A 14,811-nucleotide genomic window follows, 5' to 3' on the forward strand; every position below is an offset into this window, starting at 1 on the left:
GAAAAGCAGAAGGGTCCTGAGCAGGAGGGTCTTAGGCATGTTAAGAGAACAGCAAAGAGGCCAGTGTCATTAGAATGAAATACAGAAAGAAAAGGATGGCAGGAGATGAGACTAGAGAGACAGCCAGGTTCCTGATCATGCAGGGTCACAGGATTTTATTCAGAGACTGAAGGGGAGCAACTGTAAGGTATAAGCACAGGAATGACAAAATCAGACTTGCATTTTAAATGATTCACTCTGGCAATGACCTCTAATGAATTAGTTTCCTGAATTTAATCATTCTAATAGTAATAGAGAAACATTTAAGAGTCTGGGGAATAGACACAATACATTGTGATGGCAGAATGCAGCATTTCTCACTGCCTAGAAGAGGTTGAACACTGGAGCCCACTAAGAAAGGTGCTACAATCAAAAGAGCAAAGTATTTACTGCAGGGGAGCCTTGTATTTGTGCCTGGCAAATTTCACATACAAAATGTTGGGAGGAAATGTTCAAAAAAGATTTGACAGTGGTTTGGAAATGTTGAAAAAAAAGAGTGAGGAATTATGACTTCGGAAGGGAACATGTGGGATACCAATAATGTCAGATCCCGGAGAGGAATGGTATACCAGAAGGAGACCAGGGTGGGTAAGGGGGGGCTGTATCACCTAGTATGACTGGTTCCCAGAAACTATCTGTCTACCATAAACAGATGTCCAAGAAACAACCCCTAGGTAAGGAATTACATGATGAAAAGTTCAAATTTGAGAGAGATAAAATTGTTTACATATGGCAATCTGTGTAGATCAGAGTTTGGAATTTCTCAGGGGAGAACAGAAAACTGGAGGAACAAAACCAGGAATTTGAGCTTATGCCTTATCACTGAGAGGAATGAGGAATGTCATTACTGTTCAATATGAAGATGTCTCCTGTAGCAATACAAATTTAAGTAATAGGTTGTCAAATATTAAGCTTACCTAGACTCAATTGCAAAGCTAAGGAGAAAGATAAAGGAAAAAATAGAGAAGGGGGCCAAAAAAGAAAGAGAAAAGTGTGTGTGATTAGGGGGTGACTAAGACGGAAAAAACAATTTAATGAGTCAAGATTGCTCGGATTTCATCATAGCTTCATTTATGAAATTCTGTTTATCTTTTCAAGAAAGCTAAGTAATTTTTAGAAAAGCAATACTTTTCAAGAGACAATCTTGGCCTCAGCGAAGAAATGATTATAACTGAAGATATGGAGCAATGTAGAAGAATTCAGAAAGAAACCAAATCTCTGGAAAAAGTGAGGCTTTTTTTTTTCATTGTAAAGGAACATAAATTCAGTCTCCAACCCACAATCCCCGCCTATCCTCCAACTCCCCAAATCCTGCAAAGCCCATAGAAAGTGGAAAGTGTGCCAAAACAAACAGTGTGGCTGCAGCTCCGTGGATGAAGGGTGGGATAAGGTTCGAGTGGCAAGGGAGCATGACTGGCAGGCAACCGAATGGAATCACTTTAAAGCAGTGCCACAAAATGGAGACTAAATGCTGAGAGGACCTCCAGAATTCAAAGAAAATGGGATATGCTTAGCAAAATCACAGAATAGATTCTCTACTCCAACTCCTTTCAAAAACCAGACAAACAAAAACAGGAAAAGAGAAAATGAAACAAAGCAAAACATACCTGCTCTCTTATCTGTCTTTAATTAAAGCATAAAATACCCTCCCTCTTCTCTTCTCCCAACCACCCAGGAACAGAAGAGCGAACTGGCAGCAGCTCAGGTGAAAGACTTCAGCCTTCCAGCTACAAAGAGGGGAGATAGCAGACAATGGAACTGGTGATTCATTACAAAAGAATACACTCCAGAGCGGCCTGCTGCCACATGGACTCACTGCACTATTTAAAGGAACAGCAACCCCCTTTCCAACCTCCCTTATTCCTAACACCTTCCCTCCTCTTGGTCCTGATGGAAAACAGATTTTGAAGAAAATGCCAGCAAAGCACTGAGCTGTCCAAGAAAGGGAGGGCTTTGTGTTCCACAGAAACTGGCAGTCTTATACCATAGTAGAGTACAAAAATTTTCTTTCACATCCATACTGTAAAATCTTTTCCTCTCTGCCTAGTACACTTTCCCTTTCAACAATAGATAGTATAACTGAATTTGAGTTTGGCTAAACATTTATTTTTTACTAATTAGTGTTGAAGTCATTTGCAATTTTGTTTTTCGAATTTTACACATAGTACAAGAATGATTTATCTTTCCTTCATATTCCATATTGCTATTTTCATAAATATGAGATGCAATAATCTGGTCTATATGCCCAAAAAATAAGAGATCTCAGTGAAATACTCCTACAACATACACATGAACAGCCGATAAAATTAACGTTTTAAGTATCACATAAGCATGTCTATCGGCTATATTAGAATTTTGTGATTAAATTGCCATTTGCTTTTTAGCAGAGCACTGATTACTTACTATAAATGACAGAGTAGTTTGATAATTAAAACAAAAACAGGCCCTATAAAAGTAGAGCATATGTAATAATAAAGCGCATACACTGTGCAAATACTGACAAGGATCTAATATGGTATGATGAAAAAGTCATTCACTGAAAGCCCTTTTCCAACAGCTGAGCAATGGAAACTGGGGACTACAGAGATGGTATCATCTGAAGATGCAAAGAACCTAAGTAGCAAAACAGTGAAAACACATCCATACATCGCTCTTACATTGTAATAAACCGTTTAACTTTGAAAACCCAGGCCTAACCACCAGTATAGACATTCTATATTGAGAAAGCTTATGTGACAGGTCATTATCAAATGTTGGGATTGGATGTCTGGCTCAAACACACACACACACACATGTGCACACACACACACACACGCAGGCACAACACAACACAACCACAGGACAAATGAAAGACTTGGCCCAGCTGGTTATTTCCTTTGATTGTTTTCCCCCTAGATTACTAACAACTATGTACATTACATTAACACAGAAAGTATATACAACAAAACAAATACGCTGGAATACTGAAAATTCACAAATTTGATATTCTATCCTTGCCAGTTGTATAATTTCAGGATGGGCAAAAACTCATAACTTTTCTTCAATATTTAGCACATCCTGATAAAACAGGTGATTTTATTATTAGAATTATTAAGCACCCCAGAATCTCTCTTTCCAGTTTCCATTTATTTCTTCTACTTCATTCCTAAACTTATGGCTTCTTTAAATACTAATTATTACGACCACAATATTAAGTGTGCATAAGCATGTGCACTCTAACTTAATGGTCACACACACTACACTTACCAGCTCCTCTAGAAACTAAGGGGAAATGTTCCAAGAGGCAATAGAAAACTCATCATAAAAATTTCCATTTTAGATCATTCTTTCACTAGTTTAAAAAATAAATAATGAAAAGTCAAGTCATTGAAAAGCCTTCAGTAATTGCTAAGCAAGAAGAGAGCTGTTACCCTCTAATATTGCCAGTTAATAAAAATTGAATGAGGGCTCTAAGGTTAAGCAAGTATCATCTCCCAAGCAAAAAGAGAATCCAGAAACAGGATTTATCTTTTATGTAAATTTTTTTTAAAAAATAAAGCAGTATTTCTTTTCTTTTTTTTTTTTTAATTCTTCAGCTAAAACAGCGGAAGAGGTGATTTATTATATGGTTGTTACACTCGGCCACAAATAAACACAGAAATAGTCCAGAATGTCACAGGTCCAGGGCAGAGGACCAACATGGGCATTTTGTTTATGAGCAAGGTGGGTCTCAGAGGTGATCGGCGATCAGAGGGCGATGAAGTTCTAGATCCATTGAGACAAGTTCTAGACAGTAGCATGCAGTCCCACAACTTGTACCAGCATCCCCAGCGTCTGGCATTCCATGTTTCTGCTCCTGTGGCCTCCACGGTGCAACAAGCTAGCGGTTTACTTGGACCTCTGCCTCATCTTTCTTCTTTTGCGCTTCAGCCTGCGCATTCGCTTCTTCCTCCACTTGGCTCTCATGGCACAGAGGTTTCCAAAAAAATGGCGCTAAGGCCGAGAGCATAAAGCAGTATTTCAAAAGAGGTAATTAGACTGATGATGAGGGGATAACACATGGAAGAGAAACATTTCAAAAGCTTCTCCGCTTTTCCAAAAGAGGAAGGAGTTTGTTGAAATTTTCTAAACTCAGATTTGGTGAAAAATTACTTTGAAAAGATATATTTGAAACTTCTTTCCTCTGGGTCCCAATGGGAAAATATCCCTACAGGTTTCCCTCCTTCCAAACAGCACTGCAGGGCATTATATAACTAAACAGGATTCCAGCTCCTAAAATGATGCCTCCATCCTGATAACTAGCTGGCTCTCTCGCCCTCCGGTGGTTACTGGGAGAGGAAGAGAAGAGAGAACACAAAAAAAGGGCAACCTCCTTAAAAGGAAAGCACTGTCCAGTGATGAAATTTCCACAGAGCATAGAAACCTGGAGTGAAACTGATCTTAAGTCTGAGACTAAAGGATTTGAATGTCCTACAGTGTAAATGATTTCTCATTGATAAATCAGAGCCTCATCATTTCCTCTTAACCTATACATAAAGGAAAAAGGGTAATGGAGCGTACAGAAGGATGCTAACAAGAAAAATTGCCTTGCCAGGGAGAACTGTGGAAGAGCATTCACCTTTCCATTTGTCAGGAATGACTTGCTAAAATGCAGATTAGATATTGCCTGGCATAACCAAAAAGAGGCAGGGAGAAAGAGGGGAAAAGGATGAGGAGAGAAAGGGGGATTGAGGGGGTTGGGGGAGAGAGTGAGTGGGAGTGGGAGAGAGAGAAGAGAAGAGAGAAAAACGAGAGGGGAGACAGAGGGAGGAGAGGTATCTTCCATTTCCTACTCTCTCTCCTTCAAATGTATTTTAAAGCCTGTGTGATTGTGATTTATACATTCAGATTCGTTCTCCTGTCAAGGAGGGCTCTACCTGCCTCTGTCACACCTGAATGCTCCTACTGAAAATTTTCTTTGCCAGTAACAAAGGCATGAAAATGAAACATTCTTTTCTAACCTTCATTTTTAATAAGCAGTTTAGAGTAACAGCAAAACTACAATTCCATAGCCAATCCTGAGAAACCAAAGTGAACAAGGAATCAGATTTCCCTATAACACAAATTCTTCTGAAATTCTTAAAAGGAATCCTGCTCCCCTCTTTTTGGCAGTCTACAAGAATCTCTTCCTACCTCTGCAGTCTTTCTCTCCCTCCCTCTTCTCAGAACCAAGACAAAGAGGTAGACAAATCCCCACAGGGTCTTTCCTGAGCTACAGCTGCACAGTACAGGAAACAGGAATCTGCTATGGAGTTGAGGGAGGGGGAAGAAAGGATACGGATACATAACACACACATAAACGGACTCAACAGACACAGACTTTTCAGCTGATAACAATAAATCTGGTCTGTTCTAAGAAGACAATAATGATTAAAACTCTTCTTACTATACTCCACCCTCAAACCTTTATTTAGATCCCAGAGAGGAGAAAAGAAACATGCCGAGGAAGCACAAATCTTACCTGAGTTACCATTTTCTTTTTCTCCATAAACCAAACGGATAGATGATAAACCTTTCAAAGCAGCCGTGCTGGGGCACACCTCCACAGCTTTCTTTTCCACCCCCCTCCCCCCCCAATCTAGCTATTTAAGGGTGGGTAATTGATCTCTCTTTATACCGTTTTCCTTCCTTTTTCTTTCTAATGTTTCTTCCTTTCTTTTCTCTTCCTCTCTGGCAGTCTCTCCCCCTCCTTCTTTCTCCAGCTCCCTCCCATATCTCAGGCAGATGGCTGAAGGAAGCCCCACCCCTGAATGCCTAAGGTAATTAATCAGAGTAGAGCCCCACCTCTTCCTCCTCCCCCCACCCCCTCCCAGCAGGCTGACATCTCCCAACTCCAGAAGCAGGCCTGCTGGAGAATGGCAGTTTGGTGTACGCTGTGCGCACGCGTGTGTGCGTGTGTGCGTGTGTGTGTGTGTGTGTGTGTGTGTAGGGGGGAGGAGGTAGGGAGGGGCAAGCGCCATGTGCTGGCATATTTTAAGGATGCGATGATGGAATTAATTATATAGCACTGGAAGCATTCATAGCAGCTTACTATAGTTCATACAGATTTAAGAGATTCCAGCCATGAATGTCAAATAAGAAATGAAACAAAATTATTTTTAATATTAATAAAACATTTTTACTGATGTACAGTTTATAGATGCAGTGGATTTAACAAGAAAGATGTGAAGAAGTGAAAAGCTATTACATGACCACTAACTGGAAGGTTTTTCAAGGAACAGGAATATGCAAGAACTTGCTTGTCCTGGAAGACCAAACCAGCCTAGTGAGAGCAAAGGACTAAAAGAGAGGACACAGGTAATGAGAGGTAATTTAAATGATTTTTTTCCTACTATAAAAAATACCTGGAGACTCTGAAAAAGGTGTCTACAAATATGACTGCTTAAGAAACTTAAGAGATACACAAAGGTGCATGCAAATTTGCTTAAGGCTTCCAGCTTCAATAAAATTTTGGTTAACTGAAAATTCACCTTTTGTTTTCTCCAGCCTTCTATGTTTCAGCCTTTATTGAAAAAGGTAAATCCTTTCTTATATATACCCTAGAAATTTGTGTCATTATTGTAAATAGTAATTGTTATAGAATGCTGTAGCTACAGGTTTAGGAGAATACTGACAATAAGAGTTTCTTTAAAGTTCTCTTATTAAAATAATATAATTAAAAAATGCATCAAAGATGTGGTTCAGTCCAGAAGTTGGTCTAATTCTGCCCTTTACTAGTGATCTTGGAAAAATCTTTAACCTCTGAATATAAACTTCATAATTTCCCTATTTTATATTATCACACATTCAAATAAAACAATTTATAAAATGATGAGTTTATCAGTTGTCTCATAAAATTAAGATTTTCTAATTTTTTACAGCATTCTAATAAATAGCTCATTCTGAAGGATTTATGAGATATTTTAGTTATGCTATGTATTTTTAGGATATACTTTCTAAAAGACTACCCAAAGGTTAAAAAGATTAATTCCAAAATTAAGCTTCCCATTTTTAATTTTTATCTATTTTTATTTTTTACAAGCCCACGGCTAACAACACGAGCTCTCCATTTAAAAAATAAACATCTACAGAAATCTAAATTCAAAATAACAAATCACACTGAGAATACATAGTTTTTTGCTGTCTCCATAAGGACTGTTTGGCAACATGCAGTACCAGGCTTTTAAAAATGTTCTGTATTGGCCAGGCGCAGTGTCTCATACCTGTAATCCCAGCACTTTGGGAGGTTAAGGCTGGTGGATTTCTTGGGCCCAGAAGCTCAAGACCAGCCAAGGCAACATGGCAAATCCCTATCTCTATTGTGAATTCAATTTTTAAAATTTTAAAATTAAAAAAATGTGTTGTATAACACCATTGGCTGGCACACTGCCAATACAACATCATTACACCCGCTCCTAAATTAATAATCATTTTAACAATTCTGAAAGGAACACAGGAAATACAGGACCATCTGTGGAACCTGGAGAAACTGATGTAACATAGTATATCAGGCTCTATTCTGTGCATTTTACAGATATCTGTATACTTGTGGCATAATCCATAGTAATAATTTTAAAAAGAATGAGATCTTCAAATATTAGGAAAAACGCTGAGTAAAGTAATATAGATAAGTACTAGGCCTGTTCTTATTTAACACTTTTTAGAAGTGACCTGGAACACAGAATATATAGTACTCTCTGAATTTGCAACTGAAAAGCCAATCAGAAGGAGATAAAAAGCAGTCAAATTTTCTAAAGACAAAGTGAGTAAGCAGAAAATGGGCAGGTGAGTTTCACTGGAAGCAAGAGCAACCCAGTGTATTTTTGGAAAAAATCTTGAATCATACTAATGGGATAACTGTGTTTTCAGTTCTAATAATTGAAATAAACCTCAGAATCACTGTGTATCATTCTCTGAATCCTCTGGTTTATTACACTATTCTTGACAAAAAGCCTGGGGCACTAAGAAGATAGCATCTCCCCCACAATGTCCCCCGCCCCCATCCTTAGAAAAGCAGCAGCTACCTTGACACTTAGGTGTGACTGCAGCCTCCATACATCATGGAAAGAGACAAGGCCCCAAGGAGTTTTTTTGTTTTGTTTTATTTTGTTTTTAAAGAAAAGGGCAAATGAGGGGTCCCCACATGCAAAAAGTCCAAGACTAGGATAAAGGTTTCCTCAGGCCAGGAATTCATGCTACTTTTCTACATTTAGAACCAATATTTTACAGTGCAAATAGGCTTAAAAATTTATTACAGGAAAGAATTGGTACAAGCTTAAAAAAAATGTTACAATGATTTTTATAAACTCACTGAATGACAGGCTCATAGTGAGGTCTGACTGGCACAATGATATTTTGAAGTGTGTCCCTGGTATTATAGAGGACAATTTGCTCCCTGGTGTCCAAGAGAGAGAAGAGCAATTGAGCAGCCTGGGTCTGACCCAGCAAAACTGGAGTCCCCTGGTGGCTGAATGTGCCCGGTAATGTACCAAGGAGAAAATCATTTTAGGACATTTCCTGTATGTGTGTTTGGGAGGAGAGAGACAGGCAGGGGCTGGGAAGCTTTGGAACAGGGTGGGCACGATGAGATGTCAGCTAATGAAGGAGGCCCTGCCTTCTCCATGGACAAATCCCCAGCTTTCAGGACAGTGTCTGGGACGTGGTAAGTACTCAAGAAATATTTATTAAATAAACAAATGAAGGAAAGAGGTACTTCTCCCTGTAGTCTCAACTCTTTGAGTGTTTCATCCAATCTCCAGAACCCCAGCTTCCTTTCCTCCATACTACTCAATTGAAATTTACCTTACTGAAGTCACTGAAGACCTCCAAATCATGGCCAAATTTAATGGACATTTTATGTCTTCTTTGATTTGTCTGTGGTATTTGGCATTCCCTCCTTTGGGAAACTCTCACTCTTAACTTAAAATGATACCAGTCTTTCTTAACTTTCCTCTTTCCCTGTTCACCCTCTTCTCCATCGTACTCTTCTTCCTCCTCTACCATCCTCTCAATTGTTGTTGTTACTTGCAAGGTGTCATCCTCAGATCTCTTTTTACTGCACACCAGAGGTTCTTAACCCAAAGTGCATGGTTCCTAACACAGGCACCCCAGTAGAAATTTTTCTTATATGCATTTCCACGCAGAGAGGATCTGTAGTATTTATCAGATTCTCAAAAGGGTCCAAACCTCAAAGAAGTTAACATTGCTGACCACACTTGCTCAAGGTGTTCCAACTCATTCTATCACTTCAGTTACCAAGAATTTACCCTGACGGCTCCCACATTTCTATTTTTGAGCACATACATCTCTTCTGAACACCATGTTTCTATTCTTTTTCCCTTGAATATGGCCGACTATATGGGTTATTCATCCTTCAAGGCTTACTTCAGAAATCCCCTACTCCAGAAAGCCTTTCCTGACCCTACTTGCTCCCACATCTGGTTTAGGTACCCTTATCTGTGAGCATACTTTACCTTAGCACCTAATCCATGGTACATAACGGTTGGAGTTACTGTTCTGCATAACTATGACTAGACTATGAGCAGTCTGAGGGTAGAAATCATGTTTTATACTATATCCCCAGTTCTTAACCCAGTATCTGAATACACAGTAAATGAATGTTTGTTGAAATCAAACAATAATGCCTTGATTTCTATTACTCTAGCCATTTATTTATTCACACATGGATACATCAGAATGAAGAGCACCTATGTAGTTATCAAAATATTATAAAAGCATTCTTTCTTCCAAGAGCGCACTTGGAGATATCTTCAAATTTATAAATTTACTTCACTTTTTTTTTTGAGGTGGAGTCTCGCTCTGTTGCCCAGGCTGGAGTGCAGTGGCACGATCTCAGCTCACTGCAACCTCCACCTCCCAGGTTCAAGCGATTCTCCTGTCTCAGCCTCCCAAGTAGCTGGGATTACAGGCACACACCACCATGCCCGGCAGTTTTTTTTTTTTTTTTTTGCATTTTTAGTAGAGATATGTTTCACCATGTTGGCCAGGCTGGTCTTGAACTCCTGACCTCAGGTGATCCAACCGTCTTGGCCTCCCAAAGTGCTGGGATTACAGGCGTGAGCCACCGCGCCTGGCCTTACTTCAGTTTTATTTTCAGTATCTTTCAGAAATCTGAAGCTGAAAGGAAGATGTACAAAAAGAGTGGGAGAAAGGCTTTATTTTCAATTTTATTAGAATAGTTCAGATTCTAGACAAAATAATACCCACTCATTTAAAAAAAATTTTTTTTAGGTGTTCTTGTCATACAGAAGTAACTCAGCTTCCCTACCTTCCACCCACATACCAGCACTGCTATAAAAGTGGATCTAAGAGTCCCTGTCTACAAGGCAGGGCTTGCTCCAACTTTCCCAGGCTGCCTCTGACACCCAAGTGAAAGGCAACATTAAAGGGAGAGCATTTCCTGCAATAATAAAAACTTGTTGGTATAAAGGCTCTTCACGGCACGCCCCCACACAATAACCCTAACTAAGTGTAAATAACAATTTACACCTAACAGATATTAAATACCTTTCCAGAAGCACCTCTAATACAATACCACTTTAATATCCTTTGCCCCAACATTCCCCTTAACATAAATGAAGTCAAATTACAGCTAACTCTATTATTTCCCTAACTTTATTTCTCTAGTTTAGGCAGAGTTCAGTCATATAGAACCCATTCACCATTCAAAAAAAAAAAAAAGTGAGTGTGAAATTTGAAATCAAATGCTTTAGATCTTATAGGCTTATAAAAAACAATCCTCATTTATTTCCTGTTCCCCAAAGTCAAACCTTTAGCACAAAACCACAAATAACATAAACTAAGACATCAGTGAGGCCAGGCAAATCAAAAAATTTAATTCACAAATTACTACATGTCTTTGGGTAACTTATTCATATCTTTAAGAAATCCCAAACCCCAGATAACTAGAGTCATACATACAACTGAAATTATGTGTACATTGTACACATCCCTGTGAGGGATTAAGGAAAAGGTTCTCAGACAAATATGAAAATGGATGGGATGTAAACAAATTTATCAATAACTGGGTTGTCAAGAAGATAATACATGATTAATCTGTGAAAATTGAAGACTGCTCTTTATCCAACGGCATGCCACGAATATGCCATGCCTCTATTATTAAGTTACAGGAAACTTTGTTGTCTTGTTCACCACTAATATCCCTGTGTCTGGCATAGTATCTGGCACACAGTAGGTACTCAAAAAACAGTTGGTACACAATAAACTAATTCAGAATGAGAAAATAAATTCAATTTATATAAATTATATAAACTTGCATGTTAATATAATTATATAAACTATATAAGTATAAACTATACTTGCATATGTTAATATAATTACATACACTATATAAGTATAAACTTGCATGTTAATATAATTACATAAACTATATAAGTATAAACTATACTTGCATATGTTAATATAATTACATACACTATAATTATAAACTTGCATATGTTAATATAATTACATAAACTATATAAGTATAAACTATATAAGTTAATATAATTATATAACTATGTAAGTATAAACTATATAAGTTAATATAATTACACAAACTATATAAGTATAAACTATATAAGTAAATAAATTTATATAGTTGTGTGTGTGTGTGTGTGTGTGTGTGTGTGTGTGTGTGTACTGCTTAACACCAAGGTCAACTTCCCATGAAGAAATGGAGAGCCTAATATACTCTACAGCATTTTGAGGACCTGAGCATACCTCAATATCAAAAGTGTCCTTTAGGCTGGGCATAGTGGCTCACGCCTGTAATTTGGGAGGCCGAGGAGGTGGATCACCCGAGGATGGGAGTTCAAGACCAGCCTGACCAACATGGTGAAACCCTGTCTCTATTAAAAATACAAAAAAAAAAAAATTAGCTGGGTGTGGTGATGCCCACCTGTAATCCCAGCTACTTGGGAGGCTGAGGCAGGAGAACTGCTTGAACCCGGGAGGCAGACGTTGCAGTGAGCCGAGATAACACCACTGCACTCCAGCCTGGGTGACAAGAAAGAAACTCTGTTTCAAAAGAAAAAGTGTCCTTTAGATAGGTAAATTTCTGTCTCTCAATTTTCTAGATGCCTAATATCCTTAAGCTGTCCTTGGCTACCCTAAACCCTCAAATCAGGAAATTTAGCTATACCTCCAATAATTTAAGACCCTGTTTCCTCTTCCTCCAACTGCCCCATTCACCACTTGGATGACAGGTTAAGTAAAAGTGCCTAAGGAAAACCTGTGATAAAAGACAATACCCTTAACTTGCAACAAGTTACATTTTAACCATCTGATCAGAGGCAGTAAATGTTTAATCTGAAAGACTGTCTATAAGAATAACTTCAGGAACAGTTTCTTAAATAGATTTGTCTGGGCAGGGAGACTACATTCATTGTCCCTTAAATCACAAGCAAGCCTGTATCTCCTTACTCTGCCTGATTTTAAACTAATTTGGCCAGACTAGGTTCTACGAAAATTATAACTAATAAAATAATCATTTTCAATGGCACACTCTTAAAATAGGCATGATTTAGCAATGAAAGGTCAAGTACCTAAAATATTTTCGAACTTTCTGTTGAAGAGAACTCACTTTGTTTCATTAACTCAAAACTAGCAATTCTAGAAATAACTTAATTAAAAATAGATGTAAAACCTTTCATTAAAAGAAATACTGTTCAATCATGTCCTCCATAACGTCCAACTGTATAATGCATTAGTATGAAACTGCAAGCATTATGCAATGGAAAGCTTGGATTTAACTAAGCAAAAGAATATATAAAAGAAGCTAAAAACATTTTATAACTGTAGTTAAGAGTTTGGGTAGTAACCAACCATCTACTACTCATTTATAAATGCACTGAAAAAAACTGTTACTTTAAAAAAGTAATAAATAAGATTGTAAAATAGCTTGGGATCCTTCAATTTAAAATTGTTTTTTTTTAATCCCATTAGCTTTCCTATGTGGCAGAATGGAGAGTAAACCCTTAAATTTTAATATCCCATTACCTCCATTTCTAAACGACGTTAATTTCAGATAGAATAAACCTACAAATGGAGTAAAGCCAGGAAAGTGTAGTTTCAAATACTGTGCACTACATTTATCAGTACTAAATACTAATAACCAAAAAAATTGGGGGTGGAAAATTCATCTTATTATGAATATTGATTAGAATTTTGCTGCAAAAGACTTTCATCAAACCATGTCATAATTTCTGAACAGGAACTCTTTAATCCACCCCAAAATTGGGAGGGGGAGATGGTCAATTTCCTTCCTCAAAAAATTCAATTACATACTGTAATTATTTTTTCATATATGTCTAATACTTCAATTCACTTGGGAAACATTTTTACTTTTTCAACTTTTTCCTCAAAGAATTTTACTTATGTTATAGTTACTATAATTCCCATACTTTGCTGGTTGTGGGTCAGAAATTTACTGTTCACAGATGTTTCTCATTGAAAGCACATTAATATTTACTTGTAAAAAGACCTGGTTCTAATCTAGTCTCATAACACTTCCAGCCTTAAGCTGTTACAAAGCCCAAGCTATTGTTTTATGTCAGTAGAGATACAGTTCATAGATAAGTGAAATCCACAAATATATCAAAACCTCATTATCGTAAATATAAAATACTCTTAATTTGAATAATCCAAAATAACAGAAACAGTTATATCATTAATATAAAACATATAATATAGACCTCTATTAGAATATAGTTAAAGAGAAACATAATCACAGCCACTGCCATATGATTGCAATATTGATAGCTTTAGACTTGAATGAAAGCTGTAAGTTTACTCCAGAGAGCTTACCCAACAGGCCCAATCCAAAATAGCTTGGGCCTTTAGGCCCAAAATACCTAATAAGATGTACTAGTTAGTCCATTATTTCTTTTAACTCTATGCATTCCGGTCCAACCTGCAACATAGGTGCTAATTATTAGAGAAATGGCTATTTGAAAGAAAAAAATAATTAAAGGAACATGAAAACAAACTAAAACAAACTGACAGACCAAGTAGTATCTTTAATTCAGAATTAATTGTATTAACTGTATTTATTTTCTTATTCTAGGTTTCCATCACAATATTTCAAAAAATCATGATAGCTCAGAGGTCATCTGGCCCAACTCCTTCATTTTATATACAACAAAACTAAAGTCAAGAAAAATTGAAGTTATTTGAGCATGAACATGGTGGTGGTTAACTCTATTGCTGGAACCAGAATCCAGGACTCCTAACTTCAATTTTTCTTACTATAAGATATTCAGAAATATGCTTGGCAATGACCTAACATTTTCTGATTCTAAATTTCAACAAGTTAACAAATAAGATGTTACTAATGTCATCACAAAATAGTCTAAAACGTTAGACTAAAAATAGTCTTAGTGGGGAAAGATGCCCTCTACTTTATATATTACCTTTCTGGAAAATACAACATTTGGAAACTGCCAACTGTGCCTCTCATCTGCTCAAAACAAAGCCTAAAGTTTATCATAATATGATGGGTTTTTTACATTACATTTATATTGTCCAGCCCACCTGGTTCAAAACACACACACACACATACACACACAAACACACACACACACACACACACACACACACACACAGACACACAGAATCTCTCCAAAGTTTCAGAACTTCTAGGGGTGAATGCCAACCACCTTTGTCTGGCCGCCAATACTATAAATTAAATCCTCTTATTACAGTAAATTAGCAAAAAGCACTGGGAAAGCTAGGCTCTGAATGGTACCGGGTCAA

At 37.4% G+C, this 14,811-nt stretch overlaps 1 protein-coding gene and 1 pseudogene across 57 annotated transcripts in view; both read right to left on the minus strand.

Annotated features, from left to right (window-relative positions):
- The window catches only part of RBFOX2 (RNA binding fox-1 homolog 2), a 290,089-nt gene that overhangs the window by 95,938 nt on the left and 179,340 nt on the right, over positions 1-14,811 (minus strand). For 13 of the 57 annotated variants that reach the window (XM_017028698.2, XM_047441256.1, NM_001082576.3 and 10 more), the window contains exon 1: positions 5,519-5,791. The exons of the other annotated variants lie outside the window; for them this stretch is intronic. In XM_017028698.2, the coding sequence (XP_016884187.1) occupies positions 5,519-5,545 (27 nt within the window). In that variant the 5' untranslated portion in view covers positions 5,546-5,791. Of the gene's footprint in view, positions 1-5,518; positions 5,792-14,811 lie in introns of those variants that run through there. 57 annotated transcript variants of the gene reach the window in all.
- On the minus strand, positions 3,602-4,024 carry RPL41P3 (ribosomal protein L41 pseudogene 3; annotated as a pseudogene).

Source organism: Homo sapiens, chromosome 22 (genome assembly GCF_000001405.40).
Source record: "Homo sapiens chromosome 22, GRCh38.p14 Primary Assembly".
Classification (NCBI taxonomy): domain Eukaryota; kingdom Metazoa; phylum Chordata; class Mammalia; order Primates; family Hominidae; genus Homo; species Homo sapiens.